The sequence below is a fragment of the Homo sapiens genome, chromosome 14 (assembly GCF_000001405.40).
Source record: "Homo sapiens chromosome 14, GRCh38.p14 Primary Assembly".
In the NCBI taxonomy this organism is placed as follows: domain Eukaryota; kingdom Metazoa; phylum Chordata; class Mammalia; order Primates; family Hominidae; genus Homo; species Homo sapiens.
In genome coordinates, this window is record NC_000014.9 from 82,739,134 (window position 1) to 82,758,136 (window position 19,003).

Here is a 19,003-nt window from a genome sequence, read left to right on the forward strand (position 1 = left end):
GTGTGTGTGTGTGTGTGTGTGTGTGCGCGTGTGTGTGTATGTGTGTGTATGTATAGTGGTTGGGTTGGATTGGGGAATACAATGGTACAAAAGTGGCCTCTACCTGTGCAACATATAAAAGTTAATGCTGAGGCAGGGACTAAGCATGACCTTCTCCGTTGCTTATTCTCACAATGAGCAGATACCTGCATTGAAATAGCCTTGTCATCATGTTTCCACATTGCCAGATACCCTAGAAAATGAGATAAATTGAGGGGCATTAATGAGAAACATTAATACCTGTTGATATGTTGTAGACATTTAAACGTTGAGTCTAATGGCTTGCATCTTGCCTCTCTTTGGCTTTACGCAGGTGGTGAATGCTGTAAATACTTCCATTCTTTCTACACCAGGTCTTGTGCTATTGCACCATCAACTAATAAAGTGTAGATGGACCATTACTGGAAAAAAAGCAAGACTGCAAACAGAAAACTTACGTTTCTCCGAGACCTAGTATTACTTTTCAGATAGAATACAGAATATTTAAGTTACAAATTTCAACAATGGTAACTCAGAGGCTATGTTTTCTGAATGACACTAGACTAGAGACTTGAAGAAGTAAAATGATTTGGGAGATTTTCTGCTCTATAAGCTCTTTTCTCATGATAGCATATGACAATCAAAATAAACTTTTTTGTCAAACCCAACTAATCCCCAGAACATGTCAGCAAAACTGAACTTGAGTTACCCTGAATCACTGCATAGAAGAATGAAGCCCTCAAGACAATCTCATTATTCCATTGGATCACTCTTTGTTTTCAAGTTTTAGTGGAAATAATTTTTTATTATTGACTACTAAGATACTGAAATAAGTCAAATATGTGAAAATAAATTAAATGTCTCCCTAGACATATTAAACTCTGGAGTGAACACTGTTTGTAGTTAAACTCTCTCACCATGACATATGTAAAAGCATCCCCAGCCATCTGACATATCTTTCCTGTCTTCTCTGCCTGTTGTCTGTCTTCTTGGACACAGTTCTCTTGACTACTGAAGTTGTGACTTCATTTTTCATCTTCTATTCTGTTCTTTGTCTGCTTCATTTAATAACTTACTTGCTATACTTGGTTAGTCTTTTGTGTGGAAAATAATGTGGAGAGTAGTGTTTTGCAATGTTTTATACTGATATGACATTTATAGACAACACTAGTGGTTTATATGTGAAAGGACTGTAATAATTGCATAGTTGTTTTTGTTTTTGTTATTGTTTTGAGCATAAACTTTGATTTTGAACTAATCAAGTTTAAATCTCAACTCTACCACTTAATCAAACCAGCTGACTAGTAAGTTTCAGGAATAGCAGAGTCAGTAGACAGATTATCTGAGTTCCACTCAGAAATTTACCACTTATACATTTGTGGCCTTAGGCAAACTATTTATACTATTTATCTGTAAAATGGGAGTAAAAATATTCGATTTTTTGAGGAGTCTGAAAAATATAGAAAATAAGGTGCTTTCTTTTTGTCTTCTCCCCCAAAGTAAAGAGATTTATAAGTCCATATGTGGGTTGATGCTTTCCCCAACAGGTCCCATGTGGACAAGCCAGTAAGAGTTTTCAACTTGGGTGCCAGCAGTAACCGGTTATACAAAGGAAACTCAACATTCCTCTTCCCCAAAGTAAACCTATTGCAAAAACCCCTTCCATCTAATAATAGCAACTCAAGGTTAGTAAATGTGATTTATTTCTCTGTCTTCAACACCTATCATAGTGGTTAACCGGTTATAGGAGCTTCACAGACGTATCTCAAGGAATGAATAAATAAAACAACAGATAGTTATCATTATCCTGCTAACTTGGCAGGCACTCTTTCTGGATTTTTATATTAAGAAAGAATTGAAATGATCTCTCTCTCTTTTCCTCTCTCTCTCTCCCCCTTTCCTCCCACCCCTAAAGCACATATACTTAACCCTTCCTGGGTCTCTGGGCAAACAAGTGAGTTTCTATGGATTAATAACAGAAAATAATTCTAAACTTCATCCTGCCATGAATTAACTTCAGAAATGTGGCATGTAACTTAACCTGCCTGTACTTTATGCAAGTATAAAAAAGCTGAACTATATTTTCAAGGCTTTTTAAGCTCCCAAATGATGTCACTGTTAATATTTCTTGGCAAAAATTAGAAGTTTATTCTATAGTTCCAGAACAACAAAGAACAGCTGATCGACTAATCCAGAGGCCAAACTTCTAACCTCAAAATGGTAGGTCTTCAACTTCTGAGGTAATGCATCCTGCCCTAGCACTGACTTTTAACAATCAAGAAAAATCATCAGTTCTTCTCTCGGCAAGTTCTGTGTTCTATATACAAGTCTAAGCTCTTCTACAATGAATGGAACTGCTTTTCATGCTTTTCATTGCAATAAGTAGCAGGGGCAGAGGAAATAATGAGTACTTCCTCAAAAACTTGTCTCTGCTGTTTGTGTGGGGATTGTGGACATTTTTCGCTATCCACTATTCTGGAAGTTGAGTGTCAGACATGAAAAGTTCAAGCTTTTGTGAAAATAATCTGCCCTTCCCTGAGAAATCAATGCATCATAATGCTTTCAATCAGCAGTAATGAGCCAGTGTGTCTCTTTCTCCTTGGAGCCTTCCTTGTGTTATTAAAAAAGTAGTTTGATAAAAATAAAAATGAAGGCTTAACAATAGAACATGAAATTAAAATTAAATGGATTTTTAGAGTCCCCCAAAAAACACCAAAATAATAATAATAATAATAGGCCACAAGTAATGCCTTCATGGTTTAGAAGAAGGTCTCTCAAAGGGGAAAAAATATATATGTGCTGAAAACATACAGTGATTTATAAAAATTTGTTAATTGTCCAACTATTTCTGACTAAGAAAGGCCAAGAAATATCTCTCAATCACGTAATTATGTTAAATTTTAGCTCTAAGTTTTTATCCAAATTTCTAAGTTTGGAAGGAAGAATGAATTTTTAAAATCTGTTCATAGATTTATTCCTTTACGGTAGTATTAAGAATGAGAAAAGAAACTTCTTCCCTCATTTCTGGTCGTTTATCTTCATTGGCTTTGCAATCTATGCATGTCTATGTGGCACTTTGTATTCATAAGACACAGTGCCATTATCCCGTATGATAAACTCATGTTTCATAGAAATGTAATTACAATCACACAGACCTTAGAAATATAGACTTAAGAGAGTAAAATGCTATAATATTGTCAAATAACAGGAATTATTATGGCTGTTCCTAATAATAGCATTACTACAGCCCCATTGGAGATTGCACAGAATTTCCTTTAAATAGAGATTATCCTAAAATACTTAATTTTTAAAAGGAATTGTTGAAAATAGATGATAATGATCTATTTTTTTCTGAGAAAGGGGATAACAACTATCACCTAAATTTTATTTTGTTGTATTTTAAATTAGGTTCAATACTTACATTACATTATAGAATTAACAGATTTAAACCAGAAACATCATTTTAAGAATAGAGTTGTAGATTTTTTTTTTTTTTTTTTTGAGATGGAGTTTCACTCTTGTTGCCCAGGCTGGAGTGCAGTCTTGGCTCACCACAATCTCTGCCTCCCGGGTTCAAGCGATTCTCCTGCCTCAGCCTCCTGAGTAGCTGGGATTAAAGGCATGTGCTACCATGCCCAGCTAATTTTTGTATTATTCTTGTTGTTGTTATTATTATTATTATTAGTAGTAGTAGTAGTAGTAGTAGTAGTAGTAGTAGTAGTAGTAGTAGAGACGGAGTTTCTCCATGTTGGTCAAGCTGGTCTCAAACTCCTGACCTCAGGTGATCCACCTGCCTCAGCCTCCCTAACTGCTGGGATTACAGGTTTGAGCCATCATGCCCGGCCGAGTTGGAGATATGTTTTAAGTAAATAGAGATATATATGTAATTAGAAGTCTAACTTTCCTTTTAAATAAGATATTTTCCAATGAAAATATTTCCCCACTTTTTCCAAAAGTGAATCATGAATTCCCAGCAATCCCTCTTTCAGTTGTCTGCATCATGGCTATGCTTTCTTCTAGATGTAAGGGTTTGCATACAATTTATTATATTAGAAACACATGACCTTTTAATTCAATCATTAGGCAAGGTTGTTTCTTTTTCAATCAGTAAATATCTACTAATTTGCAGAAGAAGAAATATGAGTTAAATGGTTATAAAGAGATTTTGAAAAGATAAGAATAACCATTTTATAGTCATCTGGGACTGTGACCAGCAGAACAAAGCCAATAGGAAGAAATGATCTGTGTGTTCTGGAGTGAAGAAAGATTTTTCTTGCTGTTTATTTGTTTTGATTCAATATCGTTTAAGCATTTTTGCAAGTTATAGAGTACCACCTTGATACTCATTTTAGACTTTAGGAATACCAAATCACACAATAAAATAACACACAAACACACAAATAAAATAAAAATAATGTTTTTATTTTAAATTTTAAAATATCGGTATTTATCCCTAGAGCCAAACTTATGTATCTCTATTGAAAATATTTTAAAATATAAACAGCATTTTCTCAATAGTGGTAATTTACATAAAAAGGTACTTAAAGGGCAGGTGCCAAGTGGGAAATATAGTCTGAGGCCTTAGATAATCATTAACTGAATGTACATGAACATGAAAAACTTATATGCCCCAGAAGAGCTTCAAAATACTAAGTTAAACATTCTAGCTTGGTTGTATTTTATAACTCTAATATTCAAGTCAATTGCATCTGTATAAAATTAACCTGCACAATATTTTCATGTTCTCTCTGCAATTAAAATGATATAATCAAATCTCACCTTCAGCTGCAGTCTCAAGAATTGTTCTTAAGTCACATAAAACCTTTCATGCAGCTGATATTTTGTTTACATTATATGAATTTGAAAGCAGAAATAATTAAAAGATTTAGTTGGATAGCTATATGTTTCCCAATTGGGTGTTTGATGTTTTCAGCACAGTATCAATATGTTTTGACCAACTTATATAATTTTATCAGGACTTGCCTGATTCTTGCAATAAGGAGGTTAGAATAAGGCATACACAACTGCTCTTAATCTTTTGAAATGATTTGAAATCCACATTTAGAAATATAATGAATAAATAGCTCTCTTTTACATCATTATTTTTCATGAAATCAGAACCTTTTGTATTTGTAGTATAATAAACAAATTAGTTTCAACCAATAATAGTGATGAAAATGATGATGATTGTGGTGAGGCTAACATTGTTGGTGATAGTATCTGCTAGTTGATTCCTAAACACTAAAACCATCTTGCAAGGTAGTTATGAATAAGGAAAGTTATGAATGAGGAAACTAGCACTGACAGTAAATGAATTCCCCATGACAGGTGACAGGAGAAAAACAGCTGGCTTCAAAACCAGACTTTAACTATCCCACAGATCAGTCAGATAGAACAACATAGGACAGATAGGTAAAACAGTCAAGAGGACTAAAAGTGGATTAAGATGAAATAATTGATTTGATCAATGACATTGTTTGAAAAGGGTTGATCTCAGTAATGAAGTAAAGAATAAATCAGTAACATATAAATGCAAAAATCATCACAGTAATTTTGCTTATTTATGAAAAATTGAAACAACTAGGAAAACAAAGTTCATAAAAATAGTTTTAATATCAATGATTTAAAGGATACCTTATTTGTAATTATGTCAAACTTTTGGGAACATTTTTCATGTCAGATTATCACTGAAACTATAGGTCTCCATGATTTAAATCTACACATGCTATTCATAAGCTTTGCAATTAGTCATTCTATACAATAAGAGATATAAACTTAGAGTCAGGAAACTGCTACTTATTATTGTTGCATTGGCTTTTTAAAGACTTGATATATTTACATATATAATTTAAGGAAAAACATTAAGCACAAAGGTATGTCATTCGATGGTGGCATTGAATTAAATACTCATTACATGTCTTCTTATTGTTAGGGAAAGTACATTCACAGTGTCCCTATGTTGAGTGACAGTATGACGTCAATGTGGAAAGAAAGCGTTCTGTAGCAGAACTGCCTGTATCTGCTGGGAATCTCTTCTGTCTACAACCTCTATGATCTTGGGGAAGGTGCATCATCACTCTATTCCTTGGTCTCTCCTATGAAATGAAAATAATTTATTTCCTCATAGGTTTGACATGAGGATTAAATGAGCAGTATAAGAAAAGTGCTTAGAACAGTGCTTGCCACATATAACTATGTTATTGATATTATTTCTATTATCATTTCACCAGGTCCCATGGAGTTTCATACATTTTCCAGAGTTACAAAACCTGGCTAACACTGAGTCAAGTTAGGAATCTCAATCAATGTCTTTGACCAACTTAAAGTGTTTGTAGAATGTTTGATGTACCTAAGAGTGAGTAAAATGTGAAAGTCAGTTGCTGGAATTGGTTGAATGAGAGTGTCGGGTGAAGAAGGCAAGACATGCAACAGAGGAAGAGGAATGTGTCATCCAAGAGGGGAAAAGAGAAATACTATTACTATCTGTTGTCTTGGTGGTTCTCATGAGGAGTGAAAGGAGAATTGCTAACCTGGAAGAAGATCAGAGAAACACACTATACAGTCCTGCAGTCCTTCACCAAGTAGCATGGGATAGAAGCTCTGAACATCAGCATAATTTTGAGGCCTAAAGTGTAAGAATTGCTAGAAATGCTGTGGTATTATTAATTAATTAATTAATTAATAATTAATTTATTTTTGTATTAACTTATTTTTATTTAGAAATGATGGTAAAGATGATGATGATGATGATGATGATGCTTACAATAACAGATACTCAAGGTTAAAAAATAATTGTAAAAGTTCAAACTTACATTAGAGTAAAAGTTATCCTGGGTGCTGCAACCTTTGTCCAACATGACTCATGTAACCAATATTAACAGTGTAACCACAAAGCTTTGTAGTGGAATACATGTAGGCAATTATTTTTACCCAACAAGATATACTAGCATTGGTTTTTCTCTGCCTCTGTTTCTGATGAGTTGTTCATACAATAGAGGCTAGATAGAATATTCAAGTCAATATAATACAAACACAACTACCACTACATATGGGCTAGAAGCAGGAACCCCATCACCCACCTAGAGAATACAGAAGAATTGAGAAAGTGAAGAGAATATTGTCAGGATATTGGAGAAGAGATTTCTTTGGCGATGATGGGCACTCAAGTGAGATAATTAGCTTAGGGTCACCTAGGGTCCTATAAAAAGGTAACCCAGCAGATAAACACTGCAGGAGTATTTAACGATGCTCAGGGGCCTGAGAAATGGTAAAATTACACCATCACCCAGGCCCACGGTGCTGCATATATCACTACATCTCATCCCCTGCTGCCCCCCACACTGCAGCCAGAAGTTGTGAAAGGCGCGCAGGAGAGAGCAGAGAAGCAGCAGGACCTCCCCTCTATCTCCACTGTCGGTGTCCCTACCGAACAGGGTCCTAGATGGGTAGGAAGGAAGAATTTAACACTGAGTCAAGTTGGGAATTTCAATTGATAGTTTGACTGATTAAAAGTGATTGTAGAAATGCCTGCATTATCGGGCGGGTGCGGTGGCTCACGCCTGTAATCCCAGCACTTTGGGAGGCCGAGGCAGGAGATCACGAGGTCAGGAGATCGAGACCATCCTGGCTAACATGGTGAAACCCCTTCTCTACTAAAAATACAAAAAATTAGCTGGGCGTGGTAGCCGGCGCCTGTAGTCCCAGCTGCTTGGGAGGCTGTGGCAGGAGAAAGGCGTGAATCCAGGAGGCGGAGCTTGCAGTGAGATCGTGCCACTGTACTCCAGCCTGGGCAACAGAGCGAGACTCTGTCTCAATAAATAAATAAATAAATAAATAAATAAAAAGAAATGCCTGCATTATCTACAAGTGAGCAGAGAAGTACAAGTTTGTAGACTAGTTTTTAAATTAGCTGGGAAAGATAACTCCCTCAGAACAAATCTTAAAGGGAGAGTAGGAAATATATATAATAAATCTAGTTTTTTGTTTGTTTGTTTTTTGAGACAGAGTCTCACTCTGTCGCCCAGGCTGGAGTGCAGTGGTGTGATCTCTGTTCACTGCAACCTCCACCTCCCGGGTTCGAGCGATTCTCCTGTCTCAGCCTCCTGAGTAAATGGGATTATAGGCAGCCACCACCATGCCCAGCTAATTCTTGTATTTTTAGTAGAGGAGATGGGGTTTCACCATGTTGGCCAGGATGGTCTCGATCTCTTGACCTCGTGATCTGCCTGCCTTGGCCTCCCAAAGTGGTGGGATTACAGGATCAATCTAGTTTTTTAATACAATGCCTTCACTTCCCCGTGCCCCTCTTTTTTTCTTTTTTTTTTAACTTAATTGCTTACAAGACGTATCTTTTCTGTATCAGCACATGTTCATAACTCTCCTTTTTTTTTTTTTTACCAAATGTATAAAATGGACCAATCTTTAGATATATTATTGTTTCTTTTGTTCAAATTTCTTTGAATATTGTATAATCAGTGATTATTTAAACATTTTGTGGTCGTCTTCTTGGTCCATTATTTCTTGGGCTGCTGGTCCTTTCTTTATAATATTTAAGATCTTTTTTATTAAGAAAATGTTACTTTGTTTTTAGTAATCTTAAAGTCATTCTCAAAGATCTGGCAGCTAGTCAGTGTTCCTCTGTTGTTTGTTGCCTTGGAACTCAAACAAAGGGCCTGATACATGCTGTTGATCACAATAAGCTGATCCTTTACACCCCACTATTCCACCAGAAGTCAACACGCAATGAAATGGTTTAAATTCTCGCTTGTGCAATGGCTGAACTAGCTGTATTTGGCCTTGTTGAAAGCAATGGCAGGTACCACACTAAATCATTTTGAGGACTTTTCTCTATGAATGAAAGAGGAAAAGGAGGATGTGTAACCATCGGAGCCTCACTTAATGTCAGGGAGTCAATGCAACTTCCTCTCCTTCAGGCTGGAGGGGCAATTTGAGTGTGTCATGTAGATGCACAGGTCTCTTGTATTTAATCTTTTCCTTTGAAGGGCAAAAAGCAGAAGAGCATGTTTGCTCAGCCCCTGATTTCAGCACCTCCATCACATAAGTCATTGGAGGCCAACAGTAATCACTCCTCGTCTCTCTTCTCTCACCAGATACTACTGTTAGCTCTGGCTTTAGAACCGAGCCGCATTCATGACTGTTAACTAGAGAAGTGGCTTACCAAGTCTTCACCTTCTCAGAAGTCTCTCACAATCAGCATACTCATTAAAGCTTTTACTTCCCAACACAACAAATTTGCATGCCTATTTAAGTTAGTTAGTTCCAAATAGGAGAAAATGCCTGAATAAAATGGAGTTTAAGAAAATGTCACTTTGTTTCTTTAATTTTTTTATTGAACTAAAATATGCACTAATAAAAGTATACATTCCATAAGGTAAAGCCTGAAGAACCTTTGCAAAATGAAGACCCCTTTTAACTAGTAATGTGACTAAGAAACAGAATGCTACCAGCACCCGCAGATGCCTCCTTCTTGACACTTTATAGTAAATAACTCAAAGGTATCCATTATTTTGACCTTTAATGGCATTACTTTATTTCATCCTTCAAAAAAATAGAATTAAACTGTGCATACTCTTTGATATGGCTTCTTTCTCAAGTTAGATGCATTCGTATTTTTGGGTGTAGTTGTAGGTCATGGATTTTACTGAATTCTAATGTATGAATATATCATATTTTAGTTCTTTAATTACATGACTTATGGGCATTTGAATTGTTTCTAGTTTGAGCTCTTAAAAATAGTACTACTACATTCTATACATGCCATTTGGAGTCTATTTTATTTCAGCCTCTAAAATTAAGTAAAGTGTCTTTAGTGAAAGGGGAAAAATATTCTGCTTGAATCTAATTGATGGACACTTAAAATATAAGCCTTAGGATGACAGATTTGAATATCATGATTAAAATATACACTTGAAATTAAACTCAAAAAACTGTAATCCTGTAACGATAAAATAAAAATTATAGTAAAAAGGGAAAGTTAATCTTTGTTTTAAAAATAACAAGTACCAAAGTCATGTAAAGAAGCTAAAAGTACTGGTCTTGAATTATGGCTTCATCAAGTGTTGGCTTTTTGAAATTAGAGAAGTTATTGGAATGTCTTTGTGCCTCAGTTTCTTTATCTTTAAAATGGGGATAATTGCAATATCTACCTTGTAGGATTGTTAATTCATATAGGACACTTGGAACAGTACCTGAGGTGTGGTAAACACTAGTAAGTGTTTATTTTTATTATGCTGAATAAAGGCTGTAGATCAAGAATGTGTCCCAAAGTTGTGAATAGAGTGTCACAATGTATCCAAGAATTGTGAAGCAATGATTCTGTACAATACAATAAAGTTTAATTATTTACAAAAATTTTTCAGCTGTTTCAGTTGCCTTCCCAGCATATTTTATTATTTTAATTTTAAAGAGAATGCTGCATCTCAAATTATTTATTCAGTTAGAAGTTGACTTTTTCACCCAGAGATTAAAAAAAGTAAGATTCATTGCAGCAATCGAGACAACACATTAAATTAAAAATATATAAGAAAATCAGGATAAATTAGGCAAATAACTTTAGTACTGTGAGAAAAAGTAAAGGTAAAACCAGTTCATGAAATTTATATCATGTGTTAGTGTACAGTTACTGCACATTAAACAAAAATCTACTTCTGAGTATCTTAGTAGCCAAATCCAAGTAAAAGGCATAATTAGTTTTGAGATTCACCAGGCTGTTAATAACACATCCATTAATATTTAGACACACATCGTTTCACACACACGTATATTCTCTCTGACTTTCACGTATTCACTTATATTCTCATGCACACATATATTCACAGGTACACACAAAAACATACCCACCCACAGTTGCTACTCAGTATATGCAGATTTTCTTGATATTGAGGTCTCAAAAACATTTTTCCCCTTTATAGGAAAGATACAGTGAGATAAAGTATCCTCCATCCCTATGTTCATCTATACAATACATGAAATAACTATAAGCTATAGACACAACATAACACCCCATTTCAGGGAAATCAGCTCTCTGAGAGGACAATATAGTCACATCAAAGACATATATTTCAGTTCTCTGATGCTCTGGCTGGATGTAGGAGGAATTTTTGCCAGCAAACCTTCAGTCGTTACCAGTGTTCACAACGGCAATAGAGAAATTGCAGTCTTTTAGCCATGAGACACCTAATTTTGAGAAGTGTAACTCCCTGATGTTGGATAAAATGAACTTCCTATGTGACATATCCCACTGTGTCAAGCTACTGGGTATAAAAACAATTAAATGTCAGAGGAGTCCTTGTACAAGCTCTGAAAGCACAGTGATTGAGCTTTCCCACTCCCACCTCCTTCAAGATGGGAGATGTTGGTTAACTTTTTAACGGCTTCCAACCTGTTTCCTTTCTGTAAAATTATAGTAATAATATCCATCTGAAAGAGCTTCTGCAAGGATTAAATGAGATACTCCATGTAAGTTGCTGGACATAGTAACCAATCTATAATAAGCATTCAATGTTAGCAATTCTTTCTGGTAATTAGCCTCACTATTTGTAGCATTTGTTTCAAATTCATGACAAAATTAAATACCATCTGCCTAGAAGGAAATAATATGATCTTTATAGATAAAAGCCATGCATTTTGCTTAGAAACAATGCATATTTTTTAAGAAATGATGGTCTAATCACTTTTGTGTTTTATAGAGCTCAAAATGATTAGATAACTTGTTATGATAAAAATGCTTGCTGACCCTGCCTCTCAAGATTAAGGTGTAAAGTCTATATCAGCAGCTACATAACCCATATTGAAGTAAAACTACTTTCGACATGAATTAATTGACTTCATATTTATTTCCTTACAACAATTTTTTTTGTATTTAATCAATATGATTAATCCATATGATTGATACAAAGAGAGATCAAAATGGAGTTTCTTATGTCTTCCTTTTCTGCATAGACACAGTAACAGTCTGATCTCTCTTTCTTCTCCCTACACTCTACACATAATCTAACAGTATTTCTGAAAAACTTTCTCTAGAAGGTGGTAAAGTTCATTACAAATATCACTAGTTCACAAATAAGATTAAAGCTGTCTCTTCCATGAGTGTATGTATGTGTGTGTTCATAGGTAAGAGTGCATGGAGCTTCAGAAATGCAGACTTACCTTAGACAAAGAAGAAACTGGGAAAAAAAATTAGACAGAATGGCCAGTAAAAATTTGAACCTAAAACTATAGGGGAAAACACTTTACAGTTGGGAAAAATGCATTCTGAGCTAAACTATCAGAGATTACAGAGTTAGCATGGAAAAGAGCCATTTTTAGATAGATTTGAGGTGATATAACTAGTAAGTTCTGAACCATTTACTCAACTATAGATTTGCTGACCCATAATTAATTTTTGATTCTTAAATGATTTTTAACTTTTTAATGTAATAGATGCCCATTTGGGAAGCAAACTCTTAATAAGTACCCCCAAATATGAGACTGATACTGAGATACTTTGTTTGAGTGGTGGCTAGGGATCCTGATGCCTGACCTTAACTCTCCCATACCACCTACAAGCATTGATGAACCTCAAAGAAGCCCTAGATTTTTAGAATAGCATAAACTGAAAACTCTGTTGTATGCTATAAATTTTTATAGTCATTTAACTTTTTATCCTTGACTCTATCCTTTAAATTGAAGTATCATATTTTTGCCCATAAAACACCACATAAAAGTACAGTAGATATTGTTATATTTCTTTCTAGAAATTGCAACCTATAATGTAACAAATTATGTTTTCCTTATAGCCACACAACTGACTGATAGATGACAAATTGAGAATTAAGGCCCAGGTCAGCCACACCATGACGCCATGTTTATAGATCTATTTTTGTTGTCCAGGGATTAGCTCTAGTGTATTATAACCATCAGGGCAAAAACTGTTTCTTGAACCAACAATTAAGTAAAAGAAAGACCATATAGGCACCACTAATTCCATTCCTCATTCTTTAACTGTGAATTCTAAAGACTTTCCTTTAGGTTGCAAATATTCTCCTTTCTTTGTTAAAAAAACAAACAAACAGAAAGGTCAGGCATAGTGGCTCACACCTGTAATTCCAGCACTTTGGGAAGCTGAGGCAGGCAGATTGCTTGAGTTGAGGAGTTCAAGACCAGACTGGGCAACATGATGAAACCCTGTCTGTACAAAAACCACAAAAATTAGCTGGGTATGGTGGCATATACCTGTGGTCCCAGATAGGAGGCTGAGGTGGGAGGATCACCTGAGGCCAGGAGGTTGAGGCTGCCGTGATTGCACCATTGCACTCCAGCGTGGGCAACAGAGTGAGACCTTGTTTCAAAAAATACAAAACAAAATGAAACATACTGTTATAATTCCTGTCATGGAAAATCCTCAACCGTGCCTCCTCTTTTCTAGCTCCTTTGCAATAAGAGGAGCCTGTAAAGCATCCATGTGTGGTCTTCATACTTAAGGGTGGAGTTATCAGTGAGAGAAGCAAAAAAGTCAATTTTCAGCTTAATGTTAGTTCTGCTTTCTATGCTATTACCTGATTGAAATTAGAGATGCTGAAGCATTATTTACTCTTATGGAGGACCAAGGTTGAGGGGAGGCAATTGGACCCCAAAATAAAGAAAACATAAGGGAAGAGGATTTGTGTTATACTGTAAAAAGGAACAAAAACTTGGTATCTATAGGCATTCTTTTTATTTTTTAGCTGTACATTGATAAGGTCGAGGTAGAATATATCTTCTGCTTGAGAAAGTTCTTAAGGCTTGGACATGGGCCAGGGCTTCTGTGTAATTACTTTCATTTACACACTTAGATGCATTTTAGTAAGAGAGTATAAGTAAAAATAGATGTGAAAAATAATGGAGATCCAGCACTAGATAAAGCAGAGGATAAAACTACTGGAAAGCTTTGAACTAACAGGGTGAGTGGCCATGGCAAGGCATCCTAAACTTTTTAGATTCCAGTTTCATCTCTAGAAAAACAACTTGCTAATTGTCCTGGCTCATAACCAAAGGACAAAGAGAATGCAAAGCAGCAGTCATTGAATGCTGTAATTGTAGTGAAAACCTTGATTATATTTGGTTCTCATTTCAAAAATGGTAAAAACATTTAAGATATATAGTACGGAATTGAAATTGTGTCTCCACAACAATGCTGAAGCAATAAAGATACCTGCATTTTACCTAAAATGCTATAGAGATGATAGAAATCCAATAATAAAAGTAAGATAATTGTACACAGATTTAAGAACAAAAGACATATGATCATTTCAATAGATGCTGAAAAAGCATTCAATACAATTCAACATCCTTTCACGATAAAAACTTTCAACAAACTGAGTATAGAAGAAACATATTTCAGAATAATAAAGGTCATTTATGTAGAACAAACCCACAACTAACATGATACTGAACAATAAAAAAAATGAGAGCTTTTTTTCTAAGATCTGGAACAAGACAAGGATACCTATTCTCACTGCTTTTATTCAAAACAGTACTGGAAGTTCCAGCCAGAGCAATTAGGCAAAAGAGAGAATAAAGGACAGCCAAACTGGAAAGGAAGAAGGATACTTACCCTTTTTTACAGATGACATGATCCTATCTTAAGAAAAACTTAAAGACTCCACCAAAAAAAAAAAAAGGGGTTACAACCAAAGAATGAGTTCAATAAAATTTCAGGACACAAAATCAACATACAAAAATCAGCAACATTTCTATACACCAACAAAAAACAATATCAAAAAGAAATCAGAAAAGTAATTTTATTTGCAATAATGACAAAAATATAAAATACCTAGGAATAAACTTAATCAAAGAAGTGAAGAAGCTCTACAATGAAAACTGTAAAACACTGATGAAAGAAATTTAAGAGGACACACAAAAAAGGAACGATATCTTGTGCTCGTGCTCATGGACTGGAAGAATTAATAACATTAAAATGTCCATACTATTCAAAGCAATCTACAGACTCAATACCAAAATACCAATGATGTTCTTCACAGAAATAGAACATAATTATAAAATTTGTATGGAATTACGAAAGACCTTAAATAGCCAACATAATCCTGAGCATAAGGAACAAAGTTGGAAGCATCACACTACTTGACTTCAAAATATATGGCAAAGCTGTAGTAACCAAAACAGTATGGTACTAGGATAAAAACAGACACATAGAGCAAGGGAACAGATTAGAGAACCCACAAATAAATCCACACACTCACAACCAACTCATTTTTGTCAATGGAGCCAAGAACATCTTTTGGGAAAAAGACAATCACTTCAATAAATAGTGTTGGGAAAACTGGATATTCATGGGCAGAAGAATGAAACTAGACCCCTGCTCTCAGCATTCCCAAAAATCAAGTCAATATGGACTGAAATATTAAATGTAAAACCTGACACTATGAAACTACTACAAGAAAACATTAGGGAAACACATCAGGACATTAGTCTAGGCAAAGACCTTTTGGTTAAGACCTCAAAAGCACAGGCAACAAAAGCAAAAATGGAATTACATCAAGTTAAAAAGCTTCTGTACAGTAAAGGAAACAATCAACAGAATAAAGAGATGACCCATAGGATGGAAGAAAATATTTGCAAACTACTTAGCTGATGGGGGATTTATAAGCAAAATATATCAGGAACTTGATAGCAAAAAAGCAATTAATAATAATAATCAGATTAAAAAATAGGCAAATGATCTGACTAGACATTGCTCAAAGGAAGACATACAATGGGCAACAGATATATGAAAAAATGTTAATCATCACTAATCATCGGGGAAATGCAAATTAGAACAACTATGAGATGTCATGTCATCCCACTTAGAATGGCTATTACTAAACTGACAAAGCATAACAAATGCTGATGAAGATGCAGAGGAAAGGGAACATTGGTATACTGTTGATGGGAATGTAAATTAGTATAAATTAGTTTAGCCACTATGGAAAACAGTATGAAGGTTATTCAAAACACTAAAAATAAAACTAACATATGACTCAGCAATCCTACTACCAGGTATATATCTAAAAGACAAGAAATCTTTATATCAAAGAGATATCTGCACTCCCATATTTATTGCAACATTATTCACAATAGCCAAGATATGAAGTCAAGGTAAGTGTCTATCAATGGATAAGTGGATTTTTAAAATGTGGTATATATGCAAAATAGGACACTTCAGCTATAAAAAAGAAGAAATCTTGTCATTCGCTGCAACATGGATGGAAGACATTATGTTAAGTGAAATAAGCCAAGCACAGACAAACAAATATTGCATGTTCTTAACTCATACGTGGGAGGTAAAAACGTTGCGAGTAGAATGCTGGTTACCAGAAGCTGGAAAGAAAAGGAAGGAAGGGTTTGGAAGAGAGGTTATTTAATGAGTACAAACACAGCTAGAAAGACTGAATAAATTCTAGTGTTCAATAACACAGTAGAGTGACTACAGTTAACAATGATGCATTGTATGTTTCAAAATAGCTAGAATAGAAGATTTGGACTGTTTTCAACACAAAGAAATGATAAATGTTTGAAGTGATGGATGTCTTAATTACCTTAACCTGATCATTACTTACTGTACACATATCTCAAAACATCACTGGTACTCCATAAATATGTACAATTATTATGTATCAATAAAAAAGAGCAAAATTGTAACATAAAACAAAATAAGGATACATCGAAGATACTCCTGGGGAATAATTGTGGGAAATGATGTCATAATATAATCTATCTTCAGCATGACCAGAGCAGATACAAAAAATCTATAGAGAAAATCTTAATTCACCAAATCTAAAAAGAAGTACTGTATATTTGCAAGTTTTTCACAGCAGAAGTTATTTGCAAACTGCTCTTTTCACTTCCTAAATAATGGGTCATCAAACTACACTCCTCAGACCAAATCTGGCCTCTCAGCAATTTTTGTAAATAAAGTTCTGTTCCAGCAGAGCCACATTCATTCATTATATGTTGCCTTTGACTGTTTGCAAAGTATGACGGGAGAGTTGAGCAGCTGCCACAAAGATCCTGTGGCCTGAAAAGCCTAAAATATTTACTATTTGCTGGGTTAAAATAATTTTTCCAACCCCTGTTCTAAAACATATTTTATGCTTCAATCCAAACACATGCAATAGTTTTTTTTTCATTTGTTTGTTAGTTTGTTTTTGAGACGGAGTCTGGCTCTGTCGCCCAGGCTGGAGTGCAACGGCGTGATCTCGGCTCACTGCAACCTCCACCTCCTGGTTCAAGCGATTCTCCTACCTCAGCCTCTCGAGTAGTTGAGATTACAGGCATCTGCCACTAGCCCAGCTAACTTTTTGTATTTTTAGTGGAGATGGGGTTTCATCATGTTTGCCAGGCTGATCTCAAACTCCTGGCCTAGTGATTCGCCCGCCTCGGCCTCCCAAAGTGCTGAGATTACAGGTGTGAGCCACTGCGCCCAGTCATAATAGTTAATTAATAGTATAGTTAACGTTTTTATACATCAGAATAGGAATTGGCAAGGTATGTGATGAAAGTATAAGACTATATCCAGTATTATATCATTAAGGACTAATTATTAAAAGGCCTTCAACTTTTACCTTTCAACTAGTTGGGAGTATAAATTCCTTTATAGCTTTTTTATTTATGTAAACAGAATCTGTTTAAATATCTAATTATTCCTTTTATATAAGGACCATATAAAGAACTCAAAATGGACAACATGCTTGTCAGTAGCAAATGAAGAAAACTATTAAAGAATCACCAGAATTACGGTCTTTAGACAATGTTTACACTTGCAATATTAAGCGAAGCTTAACATTTTGAATTGCTTTTCCATGGGAAAATATACATGCTTATGTATATATCTGTTGATTTATAGAGAAGTTCTATAAATTAAGTCTCCGTAACACATTACATTCCCCTTTAACATGTAATAGAATTCTCTGAAATACACACCTATACAGGCAACTTTAAAAATTAAAGCTACTCTTAAAAACCTAACCTACAAAAAATTGTTATATTAGATCAAAAGCAAGACATGAATCTAAATTAGAGGGAAAAATTTGTTCATTTACCTCAACAAACTGTCCCCAAGGTATTTCTACAAGTGATGTTGCTGGAATTCTCAAATAGATCTTTCCAATGTAACTGCTTTTACTTATTTTGGTGCATTATTTTTTATATGTTTATATGTATGTAAAACAAATTAGGTGCAGTTAAGTAACAAACTAAAGATACTTTGAGTTTTCAATCTGCCACACCTCTACTTTCCACTAACCTAATATTCATTCTCACTATTATTTCACACCTCTTCCATTCTTTTGTCTGAATGCTTTTAATGTTAATTTACCTTATGTCAAAGTGGTTATTTGCCTTTCAGAACCTTGTAAGATGATCTCCAAATAAAAAGCTCCTTCAAACACCAGCTTTGGTCATGAGGCTACCAGTGTGGACATTGTATTTAAAAAGCCACATTTCTCAGGGTCAGGAATAATTTTGGTGGGGTTTATGGGGAAGCAAGACTACGTATATACTAACCTCTGACTTTGAAGGAAGTGGATTGAGTTTCCGAAAAATTATGCATTACTAAAACTTTGGCGTGTGCCCTATTTTCCAAATGATGTTTATCCCTGTGGTCATCATAAAGGATTGCTTTGCCATTTTAATAATCAGATCTGCAAATTTCCACTTGGCATCAAATCCAAACAATCCAATCTGAAGGTGATTGACTTCCCTGTTTGTGCATCAAAATCTATTCAGCCATATGTTTTACCTCTCCCCCTGCCAAGAGTGAGCATCTTTTTATGATCAATTGTCAAGTCTGTCCAGGGAAGCGTCACTAATGTTTAGACAGGAAAGCGTAAGTCATTCAACTGCAGTCATCCTATACCCTCTTATCTAGGTTTGCTATTTTGCAATTACATATTTTTTAAGATGAAAATCAGTTGAGCTTTCCCTGAAAATATTTGCTAGTGTCAGAAAG